The sequence below is a fragment of the Homo sapiens genome, chromosome Y (assembly GCF_000001405.40).
Source record: "Homo sapiens chromosome Y, GRCh38.p14 Primary Assembly".
Taxonomy (NCBI): Eukaryota; Metazoa; Chordata; class Mammalia; order Primates; family Hominidae; genus Homo; species Homo sapiens.
The window spans coordinates 5,093,118-5,114,955 of NC_000024.10; the positions used below are offsets into that span (position 1 = coordinate 5,093,118).

Genomic DNA, 21,838 nt, shown 5'->3' on the forward strand with positions numbered 1-21,838 from the left:
TAAAAGAAAAAAAAACTTCTCTTGCAAATTTCACATCCAACATCAACTTTCTCTTTTTTGATTTTACAAATCTCCACAAAGAATTAAAGTCTCAGAAGGGCTTTATCTTGTTTATTTTAGCAGTTTTTGTCTTGGGTTTGCAATCCTAAAGCTTATTTTTGAATTTAGGAAGAAATATCACTCACAAATGAAGGTTATTAGGATGAGGTTATTAGAAAGTCCATACATTTTTCATGACCTCAACCTGAATTGGCACTTTTGTATACTAGAGATCAATGCCATTTCAGATATCAGAATCCAAAAATCAACATATCATGTGTAAATGATTCTTGCATGCAGTTCTTATATATTATTTTCTTCCCTGATTTTTGTTTTCTTTGTTGATCACACGTATCCGTGTTTGACAGATGTAGGGTTTTGCATCTTTTCAATAATGCACTGGCTACATACCACACTTAGTATTTGTCATAATTTATTCTGAAAATCAAGTTTTACAACTAGGTTGTAAAATTTTACTAGCAATTGACACTTTGGCTTTTATTACATTTTTGAACAGAAAAGAAGTAGTTGTTTCAGGAAATAATTTTGAAATTGTTTTCTGGACAGTTTTATTAAAATAAAAGACAAAAAAAAAAACCCAAGTCAACAATTATAGAGTATTCCTGTGCCTATACAGACTGAGAATTAACAACAACCAAATTCTGCTCTTCTTTTATCTTTTAAAATAAGAGCCACTACTTTAATTCGTGCATTTATTTATCTAACAAATGTTTTCTGAATGTGTTCACATATGCCAGGTGCTATATCTTTAGATATTATACATTTAAACAAAGCTTCATGCCATATTACTTAGTATATGAAGGCGTACCTAGAGATATACACATAGAGAGTTTGCCCCTATACACAGAAATAAATAATTTTAAGTGGATTTGGAATTCAGGGTAGTGCAGGTCAATTCTTCCAAACTTTTAACTTTTTTGTATATAAGGATGTGTCGATGCTGAAGATAGGGAGATGATGAATTAAGGAGCCATATGTTTTATCTTCTTTTTCATTTTTCTCACTGTCCTGCTGTCATGGTCAAACATATGGCAAAAGGCTTCAGTTTTTTAATTGCTCATGTGGATGTGAGCTCAGTTGAACTAACTACATTTGGGGTAGGACTGATGTTGGATTCATGTGTTAGTTATTCTTTATTCCTGAAGGAGATTGAACAGAAAACAGTCTTGGAATCATCATTCAGTAATAATAGTAAGCTCATGTTGGTACTATACTTTGACGTCAACTTAGATATCTCACCAAAATTTTGTTGAAAATTATTTATGTCTTAACCTGTGGGCAACTCCTGTTCAAATCCCGTGGACAATATTAAGTTTAAATATGTTTGCTCAGCAAGTCTTTGTAGAACTCTAAAAATCTGGAAAAATGGGGGTTATGCATGCAATCACCTGGCTAATCATAGATTCTTTTTAAAGAAAAACATGATGTCTTAGGATAGTACAGTTGAATAGAATTTGTGCAATAATGAAAATGTTCTACATCTGCAGTGTCCAACGTAGTAGCTACTGGCCACATGGAGCTGTTGAGAACTTAAAATATGGGTAGTGCAAGTAGGAACTGATGTTTTAAATTAATCTAATTCATTTAATTTAAATCTAAATTTAAATGCTCCTTTGGGGCTAATTACCATCATATTGAACAGAGTAGTTGTGAAACACAGAATAGCAATGGTGACATTATCCATTAACTAATATGTACATTTCATTATCACCTTGAGAGTTAGAAAAATATATTTTTAAGATTATTGCCATTTCACATAAAGTAATTAAAAGACAGTGAGTATGCTGATCTTGGATTTTTCATCTGACACAAGCTTGCCTTAATTTGCTTTGGAAAGCAAAGGCCAACTCAAAATTCAGACAAACACATAAAAGTAAAACCTAAATATATAAACAAGAAATGCACAAACATAAATACATAAATTTTAAAATTAAAACTTACATATTCGTTTTCCCAGATGTATTGTATTCATAAATTGGATAGTTGGCTCCGAAACTTAAGAACTTTGGAACATTTTCCTTGTTCTTTTTATATTATATTATCTTTGTTTCTGTTTATGCAACCTCTAATAATAACTTACAATTTCCCCTTATAGCTCTTATTAAAAATGTAGTGATTCTCTTAATGTAAATCCGTTAGTGTCAATACCATCATTAAATCCATAGTTATTGATTTTTCTTTCACCTTAACTAGAACTTACCTTTTATCACATTAGTAAAATATGTTTACTCACCACCATAACCTTGGCATCTAGGAGAATGCTCTCACTATATTAGCCACTCAGTATTGGAATGTCAAGGATTAAAAGAATAGTATTAAGTGCCATGGATTTTATGAAGTACAATTTAGAAACTATTTTTTCTACCCATAAATAGACATTTTGGATTTGAACCTTCCTAAAAACCTCTTAGAATATCATTACAAAAATTAAATTATCATTAATCACTAAATTTGTTTAGATCAAATTATAGTAGTATGTTATGGTATTTACTTACATTCAATGTTGTCATGAAATTCTATTTTTTCTTAAAATATGCAGTATATCAAATAATAGATTTTGCTTGCTAATTTTCAAATATAAATACGTATAACATGAAAATGTTTTTCTTACTATATAATCAAGGAAAAGCCAGGTTGATTATTGCTCTATCTGAGTAAAATAGGAATAGAATGCTCACGTTTATTGTATGAATTAAAAACAAAATAACTAATATACTTTGGTTAGCTCTTGTGAAATGTTTTTTTAAATAACGTTGGAACAAACTAATGATTTTAATTAATATTTCTGAAATGCCATCTTAAATTTTGTAATAAACATCTAATTCCTCCACAAAGATATATTATGGCACTGCATTTGAATAAAAGTATAAGTGAATCTCAGCACCCCCCCAAAATCTGAAAGTTTGCAGAAATATCTTCAAGTAATTCATAAGAGGAAAAAATGAGATGCATTTGGATATTGTTTAAGACTATATATAGGCAATTATAAGACAGGTAAATTTTTTAAAGATAATGTGATTGAAATACATTTATAAACTGATCATATATTCTAGCAGTCTCTGAAAACCTGGTATTATTTATTAGGTTCTAATTTTTAGGATCTTGTTTTAGACAGTGGTATGACAAAACTATAACCTCAGATCTTATCCTGTTCTTTTATGATACAGCACATAAATGAGAGATCAATAACCAATCCATGCCACTTGTCCAGAACATGTATGTTAAAAATGTAGTAGAGAATTAAAAATTATTTAGATGTACGTGTGTGTGTGTGTGTGTGTGTGTGTGTGTGTGTGTGTATCTGTTCATAAATCACCCATGAATAGGAATCTTAAAGTCCTCCTCCGATCTTTTCTTCATACCCTCCAGTACCTTTTTATCTCATTCATCTCTGTCATAATGCTGCAAGTAACACTGGACAGGAATCCTCCTCTCTCATTTCTCCTCGGTGAGCTGGCAAGATCACTACGTTTGTGTGTAGGGATCATCTTATTGTAGTACAGGGAGGGGATTTTTTTTTTTTTTTTTTTTTTTTTTTTTTTTTTGAGACGAGTCTCACTCTGTCGCCCAGGCTGGAGTGCAGTGGCGCCATCTCGGCTCACTGCAAGCTCCGCCTCTGGGGTTCATGCCATTCTCCTGCCTCAGCCTCCTGAGCAGCTGGGACCACAGGCACCCACCACCACGCCAGGCTATTTTTTTTTTTTTTTGTATTTTTTAAGTAGAGACGGGGTTTCCCCGTGTTAGCCAGGATGGTCTCGATCTCCTGACCTCGTGATCCGCCCGCCTCGGCCTCCCAAAGTGCTGGAATTACAGGCGTGAACCACCGCTCCCGGCCGAGGGGATTGTTTTTTAAATATTCCCATACTGTGACTTTGTGGGCATGAATTGAAAATAGGTCCTATCCGAAGCTACCTTTTTCAATTTGAGATCTTGACCTGTGAATTTTAGTTCCTTGTGCTTGCATGTTAAAAAAAAAAAAAAAAAAAAGTAAGAAAATAACATTGCATTGTTAATCTCTGAGATAATTTCATTTTAACTGTGTGTTCCTATGGGAAATATTGAAATTCTTTGTATTTTATACAAATTTATATTTTAACCAGTTTGTGTATTTTTTTTCCATCTGCTAAAGGTTTTAGCTGTATTTATTAGATATGATACTTATGATGTTGTCTTGGAGGAATATTTTTATTTCGGTGCTTACTTTGGTACTGAAAAAGCATCTTAGGCAACTGAAATCTACAGTAAAAAATATTTTAATTCATTTGGAATAATCTTGGATAATTCACTTACAGCTTCATTTATCTTGCAAAAATTTAGTGACAATTCTTTTTAAAATTCTATATACTTTTTTCTTTTGAAAACTTAAATAGTTCGAAAACCAAACATTGTGTGTTCTCACTGATATATGGGTGCTAAGTTATGAGGACGCAAAGGCATAAGAATGATACGATGGACATTGGGGACTTTGGGGAAAGAGAAGGAAGGTGGTGAGGGATAAAAAACTACAAATATGGTGGAGTGTATATTGCTCCAGTGATGGGTGCACCAAAATCTCACAAATCACCACTAAAGAATTTACTCATGTAACCAAATACCACCTGAACCCCAATAACTTATGGAAAAATGAAATAAAAAATTAATTAATTAAAAAAACTGAAATAGTTCACATAATTTAAAAAAACTTAAATAGCTCACATAAATAAGTTACATATATTACCATAAAATGCTACAATCTGAAGCCTCCTGTCCCCAGAACATCTTCTAGTACAGTTCTCTAATTTTACAAATATCAAGAAAAGTAAAGTAACTTGCTTGTAATCACGATATTTGTTATAGGCAGAGTTGAGACTTAGAACTGAAGTCTTCTGGCACCTATTTCTGAACTGATCCCATTATTTTATGTGGCTTCAAGAAACTGAAAATTGTTCTCATTAGATAAGCTAACATAAGTTAAATTATATTTTATTATTCACATTAATATTAATATATTAATTTATATTAACATAAGTTAATTCTGTTTCATTGCATGTTTTCCAGAGTCAAAACATTTTTGGCCTCGATGTCATTGAAACACCAGAAGGAGACAAGATGCCACAACTGATTGTTCAAAAGGAGTTAGATAGGGAAGAGAAGGATACCTATGTGATGAAAGTAAAGGTTGAAGATGGTGGCTTTCCTCAAAGATCCAGTACTGCTATTTTGCAAGTAAGTGTTACTGATACAAATGACAACCACCCAGTCTTTAAGGAGACAGAGATTGAAGTCAGTATACCAGAAAATGCTCCTGTAGGCACTTCAGTGACACAGCTCCATGCCACAGATGCTGACATAGGTGAAAATGCCAAGATCCACTTCTCTTTCAGCAATCTAGTCTCCAACATTGCCAGGAGATTATTTCACCTCAATGCCACCACTGGACTTATCACAATCAAAGAACCACTGGATAGGGAAGAAACACCAAACCACAAGTTACTGGTTTTGGCAAGTGATGGTGGATTGATGCCAGCAAGAGCAATGGTGCTGGTAAATGTTACAGATGTCAATGATAATGTCCCATCCATTGACATAAGATACATCGTCAATCCTGTCAATGACACAGTTGTTCTTTCAGAAAATATTCCACTCAACACCAAAATTGCTCTCATAACTGTGACGGATAAGGATGCGGACCATAATGGCAGGGTGACATGCTTCACAGATCATGAAATTCCTTTCAGATTAAGGCCAGTATTCAGTAATCAGTTCCTCCTGGAGAATGCAGCATATCTTGACTATGAGTCCACAAAAGAATATGCCATTAAATTACTGGCTGCAGATGCTGGCAAACCTCCTTTGAATCAGTCAGCAATGCTCTTCATCAAAGTGAAAGATGAAAATGACAATGCTCCAGTTTTCACCCAGTCTTTCGTAACTGTTTCTATTCCTGAGAATAACTCTCCTGGCATCCAGTTGATGAAAGTAAGTGCAACGGATGCAGACAGTGGGCCTAATGCTGAGATCAATTACCTGCTAGGCCCTGATGCTCCACCTGAATTCAGCCTGGATCGTCGTACAGGCATGCTGACTGTAGTGAAGAAACTAGATAGAGAAAAAGAGGATAAATATTTATTCACAATTCTGGCAAAAGATAATGGGGTACCACCCTTAACCAGCAATGTCACAGTCTTTGTAAGCATTATTGATCAGAATGACAATAGCCCAGTTTTCACTCACAATGAATACAAATTCTATGTCCCAGAAAACCTTCCAAGGCATGGTACAGTAGGACTAATCACTGTAACTGATCCTGATTATGGAGACAATTCTGCAGTTACGCTCTCCATTTTAGATGAGAATGATGACTTCACCATTGATTCACAAACTGGTGTCATCCGACCAAATATTTCATTTGATAGAGAAAAACAAGAATCTTACACTTTCTATGTAAAGGCTGAGGATGGTGGTAGAGTATCACGTTCTTCAAGTGCCAAAGTAACCATAAATGTGGTTGATGTCAATGACAACAAACCAGTTTTCATTGTCCCTCCTTACAACTATTCTTATGAATTGGTTCTACCGTCCACTAATCCAGGCACAGTGGTCTTTCAGGTAATTGCTGTTGACAATGACACTGGCATGAATGCAGAGGTTCGTTACAGCATTGTAGGAGGAAACACAAGAGATCTGTTTGCAATCGACCAAGAAACAGGCAACATAACATTGATGGAGAAATGTGATGTTACAGACCTTGGTTTACACAGAGTGTTGGTCAAAGCTAATGACTTAGGACAGCCTGATTCTCTCTTCAGTGTTGTAATTGTCAATCTGTTCGTGAATGAGTCAGTGACCAATGCTACACTGATTAATGAACTGGTGCGCAAAAGCATTGAAGCACCAGTGACCCCAAATACTGAGATAGCTGATGTATCCTCACCAACTAGTGACTATGTCAAGATCCTGGTTGCAGCTGTTGCTGGCACCATAACTGTCGTTGTAGTTATTTTCATCACTGCTGTAGTAAGATGTCGCCAGGCACCACACCTTAAGGCTGCTCAGAAAAACATGCAGAATTCTGAATGGGCTACCCCAAACCCAGAAAACAGGCAGATGATAATGATGAAGAAAAAGAAAAAGAAGAAGAAGCATTCCCCTAAGAACCTGCTGCTTAATGTTGTCACTATTGAAGAAACTAAGGCAGATGATGTTGACAGTGATGGAAACAGAGTCACACTAGACCTTCCTATTGATCTAGAAGAGCAAACAATGGGAAAGTACAATTGGGTAACTACACCTACTACTTTCAAGCCTGACAGCCCTGATTTGGCCCGACACTACAAATCTGCCTCTCCACAGCCTGCCTTCCAAATTCAGCCTGAAACTCCCCTGAATTTGAAGCACCACATCATCCAAGAACTGCCTCTCGATAACACCTTTGTGGCCTGTGACTCTATCTCCAATTGTTCCTCAAGCAGTTCAGATCCCTACAGCGTTTCTGACTGTGGCTATCCAGTGACAACCTTCGAGGTACCTGTGTCCGTACACACCAGACCGGTAGGTATCCAAGTTTCTAACACAACTTTCTAACTATTTTTTTATTATTATTTTCAGTTGATGTAGAACTTTACAAAATCTATTGACTTCAAAGAGGGATCAAAACAATCATATTCTACAGATGTACCCAATAGATATATGGATTCAATTAAGTTTGGTAGAAGATGAGAACAAAATAACTACTGATTTAGGAAAATTGGATGCAGAATAATAATTATAGTAGGGGCAATTTTGTCTGTAGATGGCAGTATGACAATTCTTGCTAGAAAATATATTGAAAAAAACTTCAACACAAAGGGTTGTAGCACTGTCCTCAGTACCATTGTGGGCATGAGGATCAGAATAGTCTGGGCTAGATACATCACATTAAAGCTTTTCAGAATCTGATAAATAGCTCTAAATACTAATGATATTGAGAAGCCTAGCTTCACTTGGGAAAATCTGTGGCTGTTCACAGAAATTCAGCACCAAGATATTCCCCCCATACTCTACCAGGCCTTCAGGTCCTCATAAAGAAAAGTGTCGTTTTCAGATTAGGAACTCAAAATTATTTTGGTGCATCAAATCTACAGTAACACAATATAACAAGAATGGGATTAGAAAAATGAAAGCCTACTCATTCTCATCTTTAAGCCAGAGAATGAAATATATATGAGGTCTCTACTTTAGATAGCTATTTAAATATTTGCATATTTATGCAAGGTATTTTGAGCCCTTCAGAAGACATTCTTAAAAGATAATAACTTTTGGAAAATAAAATGCTTGCTTTCTCTAATGGGCACAAAGAAAACTGTGGGCATATTAAGACCCAAGAAATCTGTGCACAATAACTTAAAACCCAATACATTTATGAAAGCAAGAGTTTATCCAGTGCCTTTTATCAGTGTTCCATGAAGAAATGAATACAAATTTATCCAGAAACTCTTAAATGTTGAATGATTTAAATATAATTGTTCCCTTTAAAAATACAAGCAATGGAATTTACCCACATATTTTTCTCGAAGTCATGCTACATGTTGAGTTTATTATTTTGTTTGTGTTAACTCTTAAAAAAGTATTAATCTTAGTTTCAGGGAATAAAGTCTTTTGAACACCTATTCAGGCTTAACAAAATAGTAGCAATGTGAAAATCAAAACTGATTTTCTTTCACCAAAAGTTCGAGATATTAAAGAAGGCTACTGGATTCAAGATAGCAATGCAAATAGTTTACCATAACTTTGGAAATGGGTTTAAGAATGGAGGTCATTCAAGCATAAGCGCAGTTATATAATACGATAACATTAACTTTTCTCTCTGAATCACACAGTGAACGTAAGGTACTAATTCAGATGTGGGTGCATTTTTGTTACAGTAGGTACACAATTAAATGCTGTTTCAAAAGGTAAACTAGAACCCTAGTGTCTGTATAGAGAGCTTCTGTTAGACTTTAAAAGAATTTACGCTGCAGTTGTTATTTCTACAGTTTAGATGAATCCCATATTTTACATAGTTAGTGGATCTGGGATGGGCAACAAATGTTAAGAGATGTCGAACATCTCCACAGGGTGTGTTTTTGTTTATATTTAACCATTAAAAAGGGCACTCTCATTTTCAAATTCTTATTGCTATTCTGCTTATTGGATAAGTTTCTCAACATAAAAGTATCTTTTATGACTAACACTACATGATTTGGGTATAATAACATTTTTTCCTGGGTTTAATTTGTGACTTTCTTTAAGAAATGTACAAAGAGTGGGTTTGTGAATTACGTATGTAGATCATCATTTTTAACAGAGTTAATGAAGTTAATTAATAAAGCAAGTTCTGGTTTCAGTGCTTTTTGAAGGCACAGAGATATTTTATGAGCTAGACTGATTTTACTTGAGTTTATGAACACATAGCAAGGAGGGCATGGATGAAGAACAAAAAACTGAAGTATTTTTCAAATATCCTCACTTTTTTGTTTTTTTAAAAATATTTTGTAATCCTAAAAAGTCATTAAAAATAATAAACTTTTTCCATGACACATTTTATATCATATAACTAAGAGACATTTTCTGAATCATAAGAATTAGTCAAAATACAAAAAAGTAAATGCTAATGAGAATCAGTTATTGGTTGTTATTAGGTTTTTATTAACTGAAAGGACTATCTTAGAATCATTGAATTAGCAGATGACTTATTATTTCACAGCTTAAAAAGTAAATAAATTATATATTTTATTATTGGTTCACAGTTGTTTCATATTCGTTACTAAATATCTTCAAGACATGAATTGGTGAACTTAGGCAGACTAATATGATACTAAAAATAATTTGAATCTTTACATTTTGTGCTACATTTGCAATGTTCTTTACCTTTTCTATATGCTCTTCAATTTGTGTTTAATGTTAGGGTGTTCACTGATGTTGCAGAATGCTAGCAAAATAACTGAGCACTGAAAAAGAAATTATGTATTTAAAAATTCAAATGCAGTAGGTGTCTTCTTTTTAAAGAAATATCATACAAAATGGGAGAAGTGACAGCCAATACAATACAAATTCATTGTTCCTTAAGGAAATACTTAGAGTGGAATAAAATATTACTGTTAGCAGAAGGCAGAATTATTCCAATTTATTTTAAACAGTGAGAAATGCATTTTCAAAATGAGGGTTTGGGGAATATTTACAGTTAGTTCATTACTCATCTGTATAGAAACAGGAAAGTGGAAAATAAAATGTTCTAGTAGACTATAAGAGACAAGGGAATTCATCTGAAATTTTATGTTTTATAAAGGGAATCAAATACTTTCTAGTTCTCATAATTTCTCATTCTCCTTGATCATTCTATAGGTTGTTTTTCTGACTTGGATGTTCTGAAAATATATGGAACATTTATTAGATAGGAGTACGTATATTGCATAAAGCCATCTATACCTGGGGAATATAATGGTCGTCTTTGGCATAAGTTTCTACATGTATTATGGAAGGCATTTTTGTATACATTGTAGTAGAAATTTTAAAAACATGAAATTTGAGAGGATGAGGCTACACATTATCTTCTATTAACACCTTCCAAAGCAAGCAGATAGCAATTGGTTGTTATGACACTAGAGAAACCATAAGTATAAATAATTATTTTAAAATCACTTTTGATCAATGTCATATAAAAGAGATAAACTGCCAAAACCAAGTCTTGCTTAATACAATTCACCCATTAAATATTGTGAAGACTATACATTTTAAAAAAAATAGAGAGGAGAATAAAAATGAAAGTAGAATTTTTGAAGGTCTTCCAGTCACTGTCTAAGACAAGTATTTGGGGTACATCATTTTCCAAAAAACAAACAAACAAACAAAAAACCTTACAAGTTTCTGTGATTTGAGTTGGAATAGTCTTTCAGTTTCAGAAATGAGGTGAATGAATGGTGAAAACTTTAGACAGTTCTAATTCATGCATGAAACCATCCTGTAGATATGATACATGGATTTGAAATGATAATTGCAGTCTGAGTTAGCTTGGAATAGGATTGGTATTCGCTATTGTAAAATTCAGTAACTTTGATTCTGCATTTATATTTTGGTAATGCAAATTTTAACCATGAAGCATGCTTGGCAAATGAAACTCCTAGAACACAACCATCTGATTTTGATAACCTGTTATTTTTCTTGTCCTAGACTGATTCCAGGACATGAACTATTGAAATCTGCAGTGAGATGTAACTTTCTAGGAACAACAAAATTCCATTCCCCTTCCAAAAAATTTCAATGATTGTGATTTCAAAATTAGGCTAAGATCATTAATTTTGTAATCTAGATTTCCCATTATAAAAGCAAGCAAAAATCATCTTAAAAATGATGTCCTAGTGAACCTTGTGCTTTCTTTAGCTGTAATCTGGCAATGGAAATTTAAAATTTATGGAAGAGACAGTGCAGCGCAATAACAGAGTACTCTCATGCTGTTTCTCTGTTTGCTCTGAATCAACAGCCATGATGTAATATAAGGCTGTCTTGGTGTATACACTTATGGTTAATATATCAGTCATGAAACATGCAATTACTTGCCCTGTCTGATTGTTGAATAATTAAAACATTATCTCCAGGAGTTTGGAAGTGAGCTGAACTAGCCAAACTACTCTCTGAAAGGTATCCAGGGCAAGAGACATTTTTAAGACCCCAAACAAACAAAAAACAAAACCAAAACACTCTGGTTCAGTGTTTTGAAAATATTGACTAACATAATATTGCTGAGAAAATCATTTTTATTACCCACCACTCTGCTTAAAAGTTGAGTGGGCCGGGCGCGGTGGCTCACGCCTGTAATTCCAGCACTTTGGGAGGCCGAGGCGGGTGGATCACGAGGTCAGGATATTGAGACCATCCTGGCTAACATGGTGAAACCCCATCTCCACTAAAAATACAAAAAATTAGCTGGGCGTGGTGGCGGGCGCCTGTAGTCCCAGCTACTCGGGAGGCTGAGGCAGGAGAATGGCGTGAACCCGGGAGGCGGAGCTTGCAGTGAGCCGAGATGGCGCCACTGCACTCCAGCCTGGGTGACAGAGCAAGACTCTGTCTCAAAAAGAAAAAAATGTTCAGTGATAGAAAATAATTTTACTAGGTTTTTATGTTGATTGTACTCATGCTGTTCCACTCCTTTTAATTATTAAAAAGTTATTTTTGGCTGGGTGTGGTGGCTCATACCTGTAATCCCAGCACTTTGGGAGGCCGAGGCGGGTGGATCACCTGAGGTCAGGAGTTCAAGACCAGTCTGGCCAACATGGCGAAACCCCGTCTCTTCTAAAAAATACAAAAATTAGCCGGGCGTGGTAATGGGCGCCTGTAATCCCAGCTACTCGGGAGGCTGAGGCAGGAGAATTGCTTGAACCCAGGAGGCGGAAGTTGCAGTGAGCCGAGATCGTGCCGTTGCACTCCAGCGTGGGCGACAAAGCGAGACTCCGTCTCAAAAAAAAAAAAAAAAAAAGAAAGAAAGAAAGAAAGAAAAAAAGTTATTTTTGTTGTAATAATGTTTTCTTTTTCCATAAATATTTTCAAAGAAAGAGGTCCTTTCTATTTTTATCTGTCAAAAGGAGAATGTAAAGTTCTTTATACTCCCTGATATTTTGAAAAAAAGTATATTGATATTTCTTATATTACGAAACATAATTCCAGTCATATGAGGGTGGAAACAACGATTGAGATAGGAGATTTCAAAAAGATTTTATCTCAACTTTGAAACTACCTAAGAAAAATGTGAGGTTGCTAGAGTAACTTATTTAAATAAGTCTGTTTTATTTCTCTAGCATTAAATTACTAAATATACATCATTGCTTTGAGTAATTTTTCCTTTAAAATGAATTCACTTTTCACAGTAAGTCAACTAACTCATTTCCTACACGAATGAGACAATGCCTCATATTTTGTGTACATTATATTTTATTGAGGAAAGAATGACATGTTCCAATTTTATGCTATATTCTTAAACTATTTATGACTTACTAACAGTACTAACAGAATTTTTTAAAATCATGATTTATTGGGATAAAAAGGGAGTACAAAGGACCCTTATAATGATTACATAGCATATGCTTCCTGAATTTTAATTCAAATGTTAATTATGTATCATTTTACCTTTAAAAGTGTGAATAGGATTTGGTCTGTTTTGTATGTACATTAACGTTAGTGTATTATTTGAAGTGTTCTTTGATGTGAATGTATTTAGAAAAGGTTTATGCTCTGTTCAGTATTTCAAATTAGTGTAATTCTTGGATATTTAATATATAGGTAATATTTTAAACAAGTTTCTGTTAAAATTTAGTGTTCCCATTAACTCGGTACAGAATCCCTTGTATTTCCAATATGTCAGGTTCCATGAATGTACATGCTATCTGGTTGTTTAAACATTACTTAGTTGATTATAATGACTGTGAGTATAACTACTTTTACTGCTTATGGTAGATATCATGTGAGTTACAATATTATATTACATACTCTTAAACAACTGTTGTAGAAAAGTTGCTTGAAATTAAAATACACACTTGTACAAGTTATTCACATAGAACAAGTTTACAGTTCCTCCCCTTTTATTCTTGATAAATATTTCAGTTTAGTTCAAATCATTCCAAGGAATGTAAAAATTGAGTCAACTTATTATATTCCTAAAATCAGTGCCCTGCAGGTAGTAAGATATACCTAGAGTGGAGGTTTCCAAAATCTACAGTCTCAATTTAATTTTGAATAAAATGACGAAGCCCAGAAAAGTGAATCAGAAGTTGAAGTGTCCCATAATAAGCTGTCATGGCTTCATGATCATTTGTGTATGTAATTATTATAAAAATGCATTTGCATTTTTATTGCTTGTGTCATGACTAGCCTGGCCTTTCCTTTCCTTTTCTGCACACACTGAACTAAGGGAGAATACCTTGTTTTTCTTCCATTTCAGTGAACCTTTCCTTCATAACTGCAATGAGTAAAGGTCCTAATCACTCCTTTGTATATATGAAGATGAAAATTCCTTGAAATAATTATCCAGAATTTCTTTAAAAGCATTCCTCAATGGTTTTATGGGTGCTGTATTTGAAGAAGATTAAAATAGAAACTTTATTTTAAAGCTATGACTCCATCTCTTAGAATGCAGCGTCTCTGAGAAAGGAACTTCTAAACTGACTTCTGCTTTGGGCTAAAATATTTACCCATATAAGCCAATGATAGTATAGAGATTTAACAGTATTTAAATTTGGGCCATAGATGAAAATGAATTCTACTTTTGACTAGTAACTATTCTTGATCCATCCTTTGCTTTTGTTTGAGAGAATATTATCTCTATTTGAGAACAACATGGAAGGCATTGAAACTAGTTTTCCACAAAGGCCAGAGGACAAAAATATTTATTTCCTTAGTTGATTCCTTATCAGTTGACCTGGTCGCACCTTTAATTTAATTGATATTATTATTACGTTTGCCTTGCAAGTTCTCAGATATCTCCAACCTTTTGTGTTGTCATTCATCGACTACGGGAATATTCTCAATGAAATGTCCTTGATGGTCTCTCTGGTTCTTATTCTAGTCATGAAAAGGAAAAGACAAAAAGATAGCAAATCTTAAAACTAGTCATCGGCCGGGTGTGGTGGCTCACGCCTGTAATCCCAGCACTTTGGGAGGCCGAGGCGGGTGGATCACGAGGTCAGGAGATCGAGACCATCCTGGCTAACACAGTGAAACCCCGTCTCTACTAAAAATACAAAAAATTAGCCGGGCGTGGTGGCGGGCGCCTGTAGTCCCAGCTACTTGAGAGGCTGAGGCAGGAGAATGGCGTGAACCCGGGAGGCGGAGCTTGCAGTGAGCCGAGATCGCGCCACTGCACTCCAGCCTGGGCGACAGAGCCAGAGGCTGTCTCAAAAAAAAAAAAAAAACAAAAAAAAACTAGTCATCATAGATAAATAAAAGGAACTTTTAGTGAACTTTGTCCATTAAATTATAAGTAGCTTACCTGATGAGCTACAGTGTACTGTATACTTTCTCCCCTGCAAGCACTCAAAGAAATATTATTTGATCAAAATCTATAGTGCATAAATTAAACAAAAAATACTGAAATATATTCTCATTTTATTTTAATTATGAAAGTTTATTTTTAATGATATGATATTTAAGCTATTATATTTCTCACTTTTTTATTTTCAATGATTTAAATGTAAAAATTATAAAACAATTTTAATCTCATTCATTAATTCATCTTTCATGTATAAGTCTGTTTTCTCTGTTGACCACCCTGTCCACATTATGAATGAAAATATGTATATACTTGGCCGGGCGTGGTGGCTTATGCCTGTAATCCCAGTACTTTGGGAGGCCAAGGCGGGAGGATCACGAGGTCAGGAGATCGAGACCATCCTGGCTAACACAGTGAAACCTCGTCTCTACTAAAAATACAAAAAATTAGCCGGGCGTGGTGGCGGGCGCCTGTAGTCCCAGCTACTCGGGAGGCTGAGGCAGGAGAATGGCACGAACCCGGGAGGCGGAGCCTGCAGTGAGCCGAGATGGCGCCACTGCACTCCAGCCTGGGCGACAGAGCTAGACTCCATCTCAAAAAAAAAAAAAAAAAAAAAGAAAAGAAAAGAAAAGAAAATATATATATACTTTAGAATAATTTTTAGAAGTTGAGTTTATATTCAATCAATATTTACTAACCTTGTCATTTCACCATGAAATACTAACTGCATCATTTTGCTGTTTTGTCACCTGCACTCCTCACTGTTGAATTCCATGTTGTAATTGTGTATCTAGCTAGATGTGATGTGCAGCCTGAGTGTAACAGAAGCACTACAGGACAAGCAGACCTTGAGTAATCTTATATAAATCTAAGCCACATTCCATAAATGCTTCTTGTAGGTGCTTTTGTGTAATAAATGTATTTTCTTGGCTTTTATGAAGCTTAGTTTGTGTTTATTTTAAATATGACTTAGCTTCCTAGAATATTCAAAGATTCTGTGATAATACAAAGCTATATTTCTTGCATATAATTAGTATTTTTAGAAAGAACTACAGTGCATTTTTTCATACATCGTGCGTGTTCATACATGACATCTTTGGTTTAATGTATTTAGAATTAGGAGTTGACTTTTAAAATTCTAGAGTAGCCATAGGTTTCTATTTTTATTGTACGTGTGATACACATTTGTTGTAGAAAAATCTAGAAAATTGTATAAAGTTTTTAGATGAAGAATTTTAAAATTATTTGTTTTTATTTCAAGCTATAGCAGTGAGTTCTTTATAACAGTAATTCTGTTTGAAGGCTATATAACTTTTTGAAGTGGTGCATTTTAAAATTATAGAATTATGCTTATTGTTTTATAAACTATACATCCAGGACTTTTTACATGTATTGAAGACTGATTTATTTATTAAACATATTGTTTATTTTTATAGATGTATGATTGGACAAATTTATGTAATAACATACCTTGATTAGTTGATAGTGTAATACAGAGGCATGTTACATATCTCCATCATGAGACTAAACTCCCCTGAGTAAAAATATCAAGTCTTGATGAAAAAGCTTTTATACTTTAAAAAAATACCATCTAATGTTTTCCAAAAGTTCCCTTAGAACAACCTAGTTACATAATTATTTCCCAGAATTTTCAGAACTCTTTTAATTTTCCTATATTCTAGATATTTGCAACTGAAATTGTTTTAAATGTTCCTTTTGAAATAGTTAATTACATTTAATTATCCATACATACACAAATATATCCAATTAATAATAAAACGTTTTTGTCAAGTGAAAAAAATCACAAATCACATTTCATTAGATTTCAGGTAGTCAAATTGACATAATCATGAAAATGAACTATTCCAATAGATTTTCTAGAAATATTTGTACTTTATCCCTTATCCTAGAACCTTATATGTACCAATTATATATTGATTTACTTCATAAAATGTTACTGTCTTTTGAATACAGTTGACTTTTAAAAAAATTTTCAGTGGCCAGGCGCAGTAACTCTCATGCCTGTAATCCCAGCACTTTGGGAGGCCAAAGCAGGTGGATCACTTGAGCTCAGGAGTTTCAGCCCAGCCTGGGCAACATGGTTGAAACCCTGTCTCTATCAAAAATGCAAAAACTTAGCCGGGTTTGGTGGTGCATATCTGTGGTCTCAGCTACTTGTGAGGCTGAAATGGGAGAATCTCTTGAGTGGCGGGGGTTGTGGGGGAGGTTGCAGTGAGCCTAGATCACGCCACTGCACTCCAGCCTGGGTGACAGAGTGAGATTCCATCTCAAAAAAATTTTTTAAAATAAATAAATAAAAACATTTTCATTCTTTTTATCTTAAAACTTGGAAGAAACATTAGATACAATAATACTTTCATTAGTCAATTAGAGAAAACTTTAAGTAATAGGCTTTGACTATTCAGTAGTAGTGAAAAGTAAAACAAATATTGAACTCTAAAGAAAAATGTTATTTACAGAAATCTATAAAATAAACTTTAAAATGTATTTACTTATTATATATCAGTTCTAACCTTAATTACAAAATCAATGCAGAGCACCATTTCAATGATATATTATAACTAAAGAGAACTGATCATAAACAACTGTTACATTATCCAAAAATATTTTCAGTAATTCAAACATGCAACTTGAATAGTTGTTGAGTGACACAAACTTGAAGTAACTAAAATTATTTTTTTAAATGCACTGGCTCTTTTGACATGTAAATACAGAAATAGTCTCATATTCAAGGATGGAACAAATACACAAAAATGGAATTTCATGGACTCTCAACACTAGTTTGTGACCTCTGAAATGAGAGACCATATTTTATTATTATTTTTATTTATTTCATCTCTTGTTATTCAAAACTATGAATTGAGTGTATTTTTTGCAGAAAATTATACTCATCATTTATGATGCTCAGATTAAATAATTACTTTTTTGTTTTGTTTTGTTTTGCTTTTTAAGACATAGTCTTGCTCTGTCTCCCAGGCTGGAGTGCAGTGGCCTGATCTCAGCTCACTGCAACCTCCGCCTCCTGGGTTCAAGAGATTCTCCTGTCTCAGCCTCCTGAGGGACTATAGTCATGTGCCACCACACCCGGCTAATTTTTGTATTTTTAGTAGAAACGGGGTTTCGCCATTTTGACCAGGCTGTTCTCAAACTCCTGACCTCAGGTGATCCACCTGCCTCAGCCTCCCAAAGTGCTGGGATTACAGGCGTGAGCCAGCGCACCTGGCCAAATAATTAGTTTTTTTACACAAATTTAATTATCCAAAGAAACTGCTGAGTTATCTTCCAGATTGTTATCATGACTGTGTTTACATGATACCAAAACATATGGAGGCAAAATAGAATTTTTTACTACATATAGGGATATTTTGCTGACCTGACAGAATTATTTGACTACATAAAGACACAGAATTTAGTACTACAGAATGATATTGTAAATAGTTTCATTTTCGATAGAAAAAAGAGTTTTACATGCTATATAAAGTTGTCATTATCTGAATCTAGAATAACTGATAACAGTTAACAACAGAATTCCACACAGTGCTGCAATTCAATTTTACATTTATACATTTTAGTTGTGTATAAAGACATACACTTATTTATTTCAAAATGCACACAAATTAAAGAAATGAGAGGGAATGTACACTTAAATCTTTTTAGGTGTCTGAACTGAAAGATAGATGTCTAGAAGTTAATATACCTAATTGTGTGTCTAGAGGAAATGTCATATTAATTTGATGTTTAAGCAGTTCTAATGTATTGGTATTAAAATGGGTTAGTGTATGTGTGAGCACAGATATGTTTGCATATATGTGTGCATATTTATGTTTCTCAAATTTCTAGCAGAAAAAAGTAATATAAACTTCAAACTAAAGAAAGCTTGTTAAAAGATTTTGCATCTACATTTACAATGTTATTGTCCCCTTTTACACCATTATGCCTCGTTTCTAAACTATAATCATCCAGTATCCCTGATATCATCCCATATATAATCTTTCATTTAGAAAATCCTTGTCATATCCAGTACATTCTGTATGTGTCCTCATGTTTTTTTCTTTTAAAAAAATTATTTGTCTGTTTCCCAAATGATCACAGATCCAGTAATGTTAAAGTACATATAAAAAATTAAATTGATTTTTGTTATCTAAGTACTAGTACAGATTCTGCTTCTCTTGCACACACACACAAATAAAGACAAATTTGCTTTCCATAATAGCCAACTTCTGCCCAGTTGTTATAACTAAAATATATCCAAGTAAAAGTCCATTAAAACAATCCTCTTTATTTTGCATTGTTACATTACTTAATTTTAATAATTATGAAAATAAAAAGAAAGAAGTAGTTCTCTGTTAGTCTTCTGTACAATGTCAGATTTGCTGTTTCATGTGTCTTCAACTTTATGGGTTTAATTTATGTCTTCATCAAATGGCTATGGTATGGATTTACCATAATTATATACATGCGTACATGCCTACCTATGTATATATAAACAAACATTTTTGTAAACAGCTCAGTGAGGACTTTGGACTGGCATAAATCATAGGAATATGATTATGAGGATACATCCAATTTTCAGATTGGGCAATGTATACAGTTTATTATCATTTCTGATTTTGAGTAGAGTTAGTACTAAGAACAGCATTGAAGAAAAGCAGTATAACATTAAAATTAAGAAGATTTAAAATACAAGAGGATTCATAACAGTCACTTTTAAAATATTGTTTTGGCTTTCTACTTTGGAGCTGTAATTTTAAAAAACCAATGAACAGGTTTTTGTATGAATATGTTAGAATGACTAATTATAGAGCATCTTTCAACTGGAATACATGTAGATACTAACACCTGGTTGTATTTGATGTAATTTCAGTGCATACAGTGTGTGTAATCTGTATTAAGTGAAATACTTATGAATAAAGTTGTTTCTGCATTGCAATAACACATCTTCTGATATTTTTTGAAGTGCTTCTTGTCAGCAGGGGCTACTAGTTTCATTAACATCATCAAGGATCCTAAAATATTTTTAGCACAGTGACATCCTACATTCTTCATGGTATAGCTCATTATCTGTGCTGGATTAACCAGAATTTTTATATTGTCATTTCTGTTCACCACCATTGTGGTGTAATTGATCTTTTTCGATTAACCCAAAGCAATGAAGTAGTCATATTTACTAAAGTTTTAGTTTCGTGCGTTTTATTGTATTAACATTTTTTGAATATTGGTAATGTGGTATCATTTATGAACCACTGTATTTGATAAAGCATTATCGATAACGGAGTTTACCATGAGTTCAGACAAGATAAATTAAATATTTCTCAAACTCCTACTGTGAGTAAGGCAATGTGGAGAAGGTCAATGGTTATGGTGAGGGATGGGGTATAGGGGGCTAGAAATGTAGGATGACCAAGGTTCTCCCCTAGTTGCTATTACTGTAAAAAGCCCCCTGTCCAAGGAGTTGAACTGCAAGTATGTTTAATAAAAAAACAAAAAACAAACAACTTTCCTTTTTCCAGTGCAGAAAATTTGTGAGTATATAATATCAGGGTTTAAAAAAAAAAAGAAAAAGAAAAAAAGCACATAAAAGTGACAAAATATAAAATTTCAGTGTTTACTATAATAATTAGAGGGGTGTGTGTGTGTGTGTGTGTGTGTGTGTTAGAGAGAGAGAGAGAATATCACTAGTAAACCACCTCCCAAGTATGTATTGGGTATGGGCATGCATGTACTTACCCCATTTCAGGAAGCATCCTAAAATCAGCAACACTTTCCTCTCCTCAGTCACATCCAAGCCAACAGCTATATTATGTTGATAATACCTCCAAAATACCCCTGACATTTGTCCCGTCGCCATTTCCTTTTTCCAGTCTTAGTCACCAGTTACCTGTTCCACTACTAACAGGTTGCCTTACTTTCTACTTTCATTTGTTCAATCAATTTTCTACCCTGTACCCATAATACTCCTAAAACACAGGTCTGATCCAGTGAAGCCTGACAGAAAAGCTTCTCTTTCCTCATTGCACATAGAATAAAGCCTCAATTTTTATATTTTTCAAGGGACTTTGCAATCTTAACCAGTTCTACTTGTTCATTCTATCTCGTACCTTGCCATGCACCTCGTATTTTTGTCATTTCTTCTGCCACCCCCTCCTCCCTGATCATGGCATGCACTTTGATGCCTCCATAAATCTGCACAATTTACCAGAATTATTTTGAGGACTTTTTTTTTGTTAAGACACCGCTGCAAGGACAAAAACAAAAATAAACTGCAGTTGGCGATATTGAAGTGCAACTGTGGAGATAGGACAAGAACACATTTTTTTTTTTTTTTTTTTTTTTGAGACGGAGTCTCGCTCTGTTGCCCAGGCTGGAGTGCAGTGGCACGATCTTGGCTCACGGCAACATCCGCCTCCCGGGTTCAAGCAATTTCAGGCTAATTTTTGTATTTTTAGTAGAGACTGGGGTTACACCCTGTTGGCCAACCTGCTCTCTAACTCCTGACCTGAAGTGATCCGCCCGCCTCATTCTCCCAAAATGCTAGGATTACAGGCGTGAGTCACCGCGCCCGGCCAAGAACACAATTTTAATACCAGAGAGTATATGACAAAAATGAAGAAATGCTACCTGATTTTATTAAAAATGAAACAAGTCGGCATGCTATCATTTCCTTCCATATCTTTTCAAATCTTAGCATCAACCTTACATAATTCTTATAAAATTAAAATGTTTCAAATAAATGACTAGGTCATATAACCTGTAAACATCAGTTTCTGGAAACTATTCCCAGAA

General features: G+C 34.2%; 1 protein-coding gene across 8 annotated transcripts in view; it reads left to right on the plus strand.

The window, feature by feature from the left end:
- The window catches only part of PCDH11Y (protocadherin 11 Y-linked), a 741,933-nt gene that overhangs the window by 92,822 nt on the left and 627,273 nt on the right, over positions 1–21,838 (plus strand). For 5 of the 8 annotated variants that reach the window (XM_017030079.2, XM_017030081.2, XM_017030080.2 and 2 more), the window contains one exon: positions 5,098–7,590. In XM_017030079.2, the coding sequence (XP_016885568.1) occupies positions 5,098–7,590 (2,493 nt within the window). Of the gene's footprint in view, positions 1–5,097; positions 7,591–11,226; positions 12,482–21,838 lie in introns of those variants that run through there. The other 3 variants (NM_001278619.2, NM_032971.3, NM_032972.3) reach the window with 1 other exon arrangement.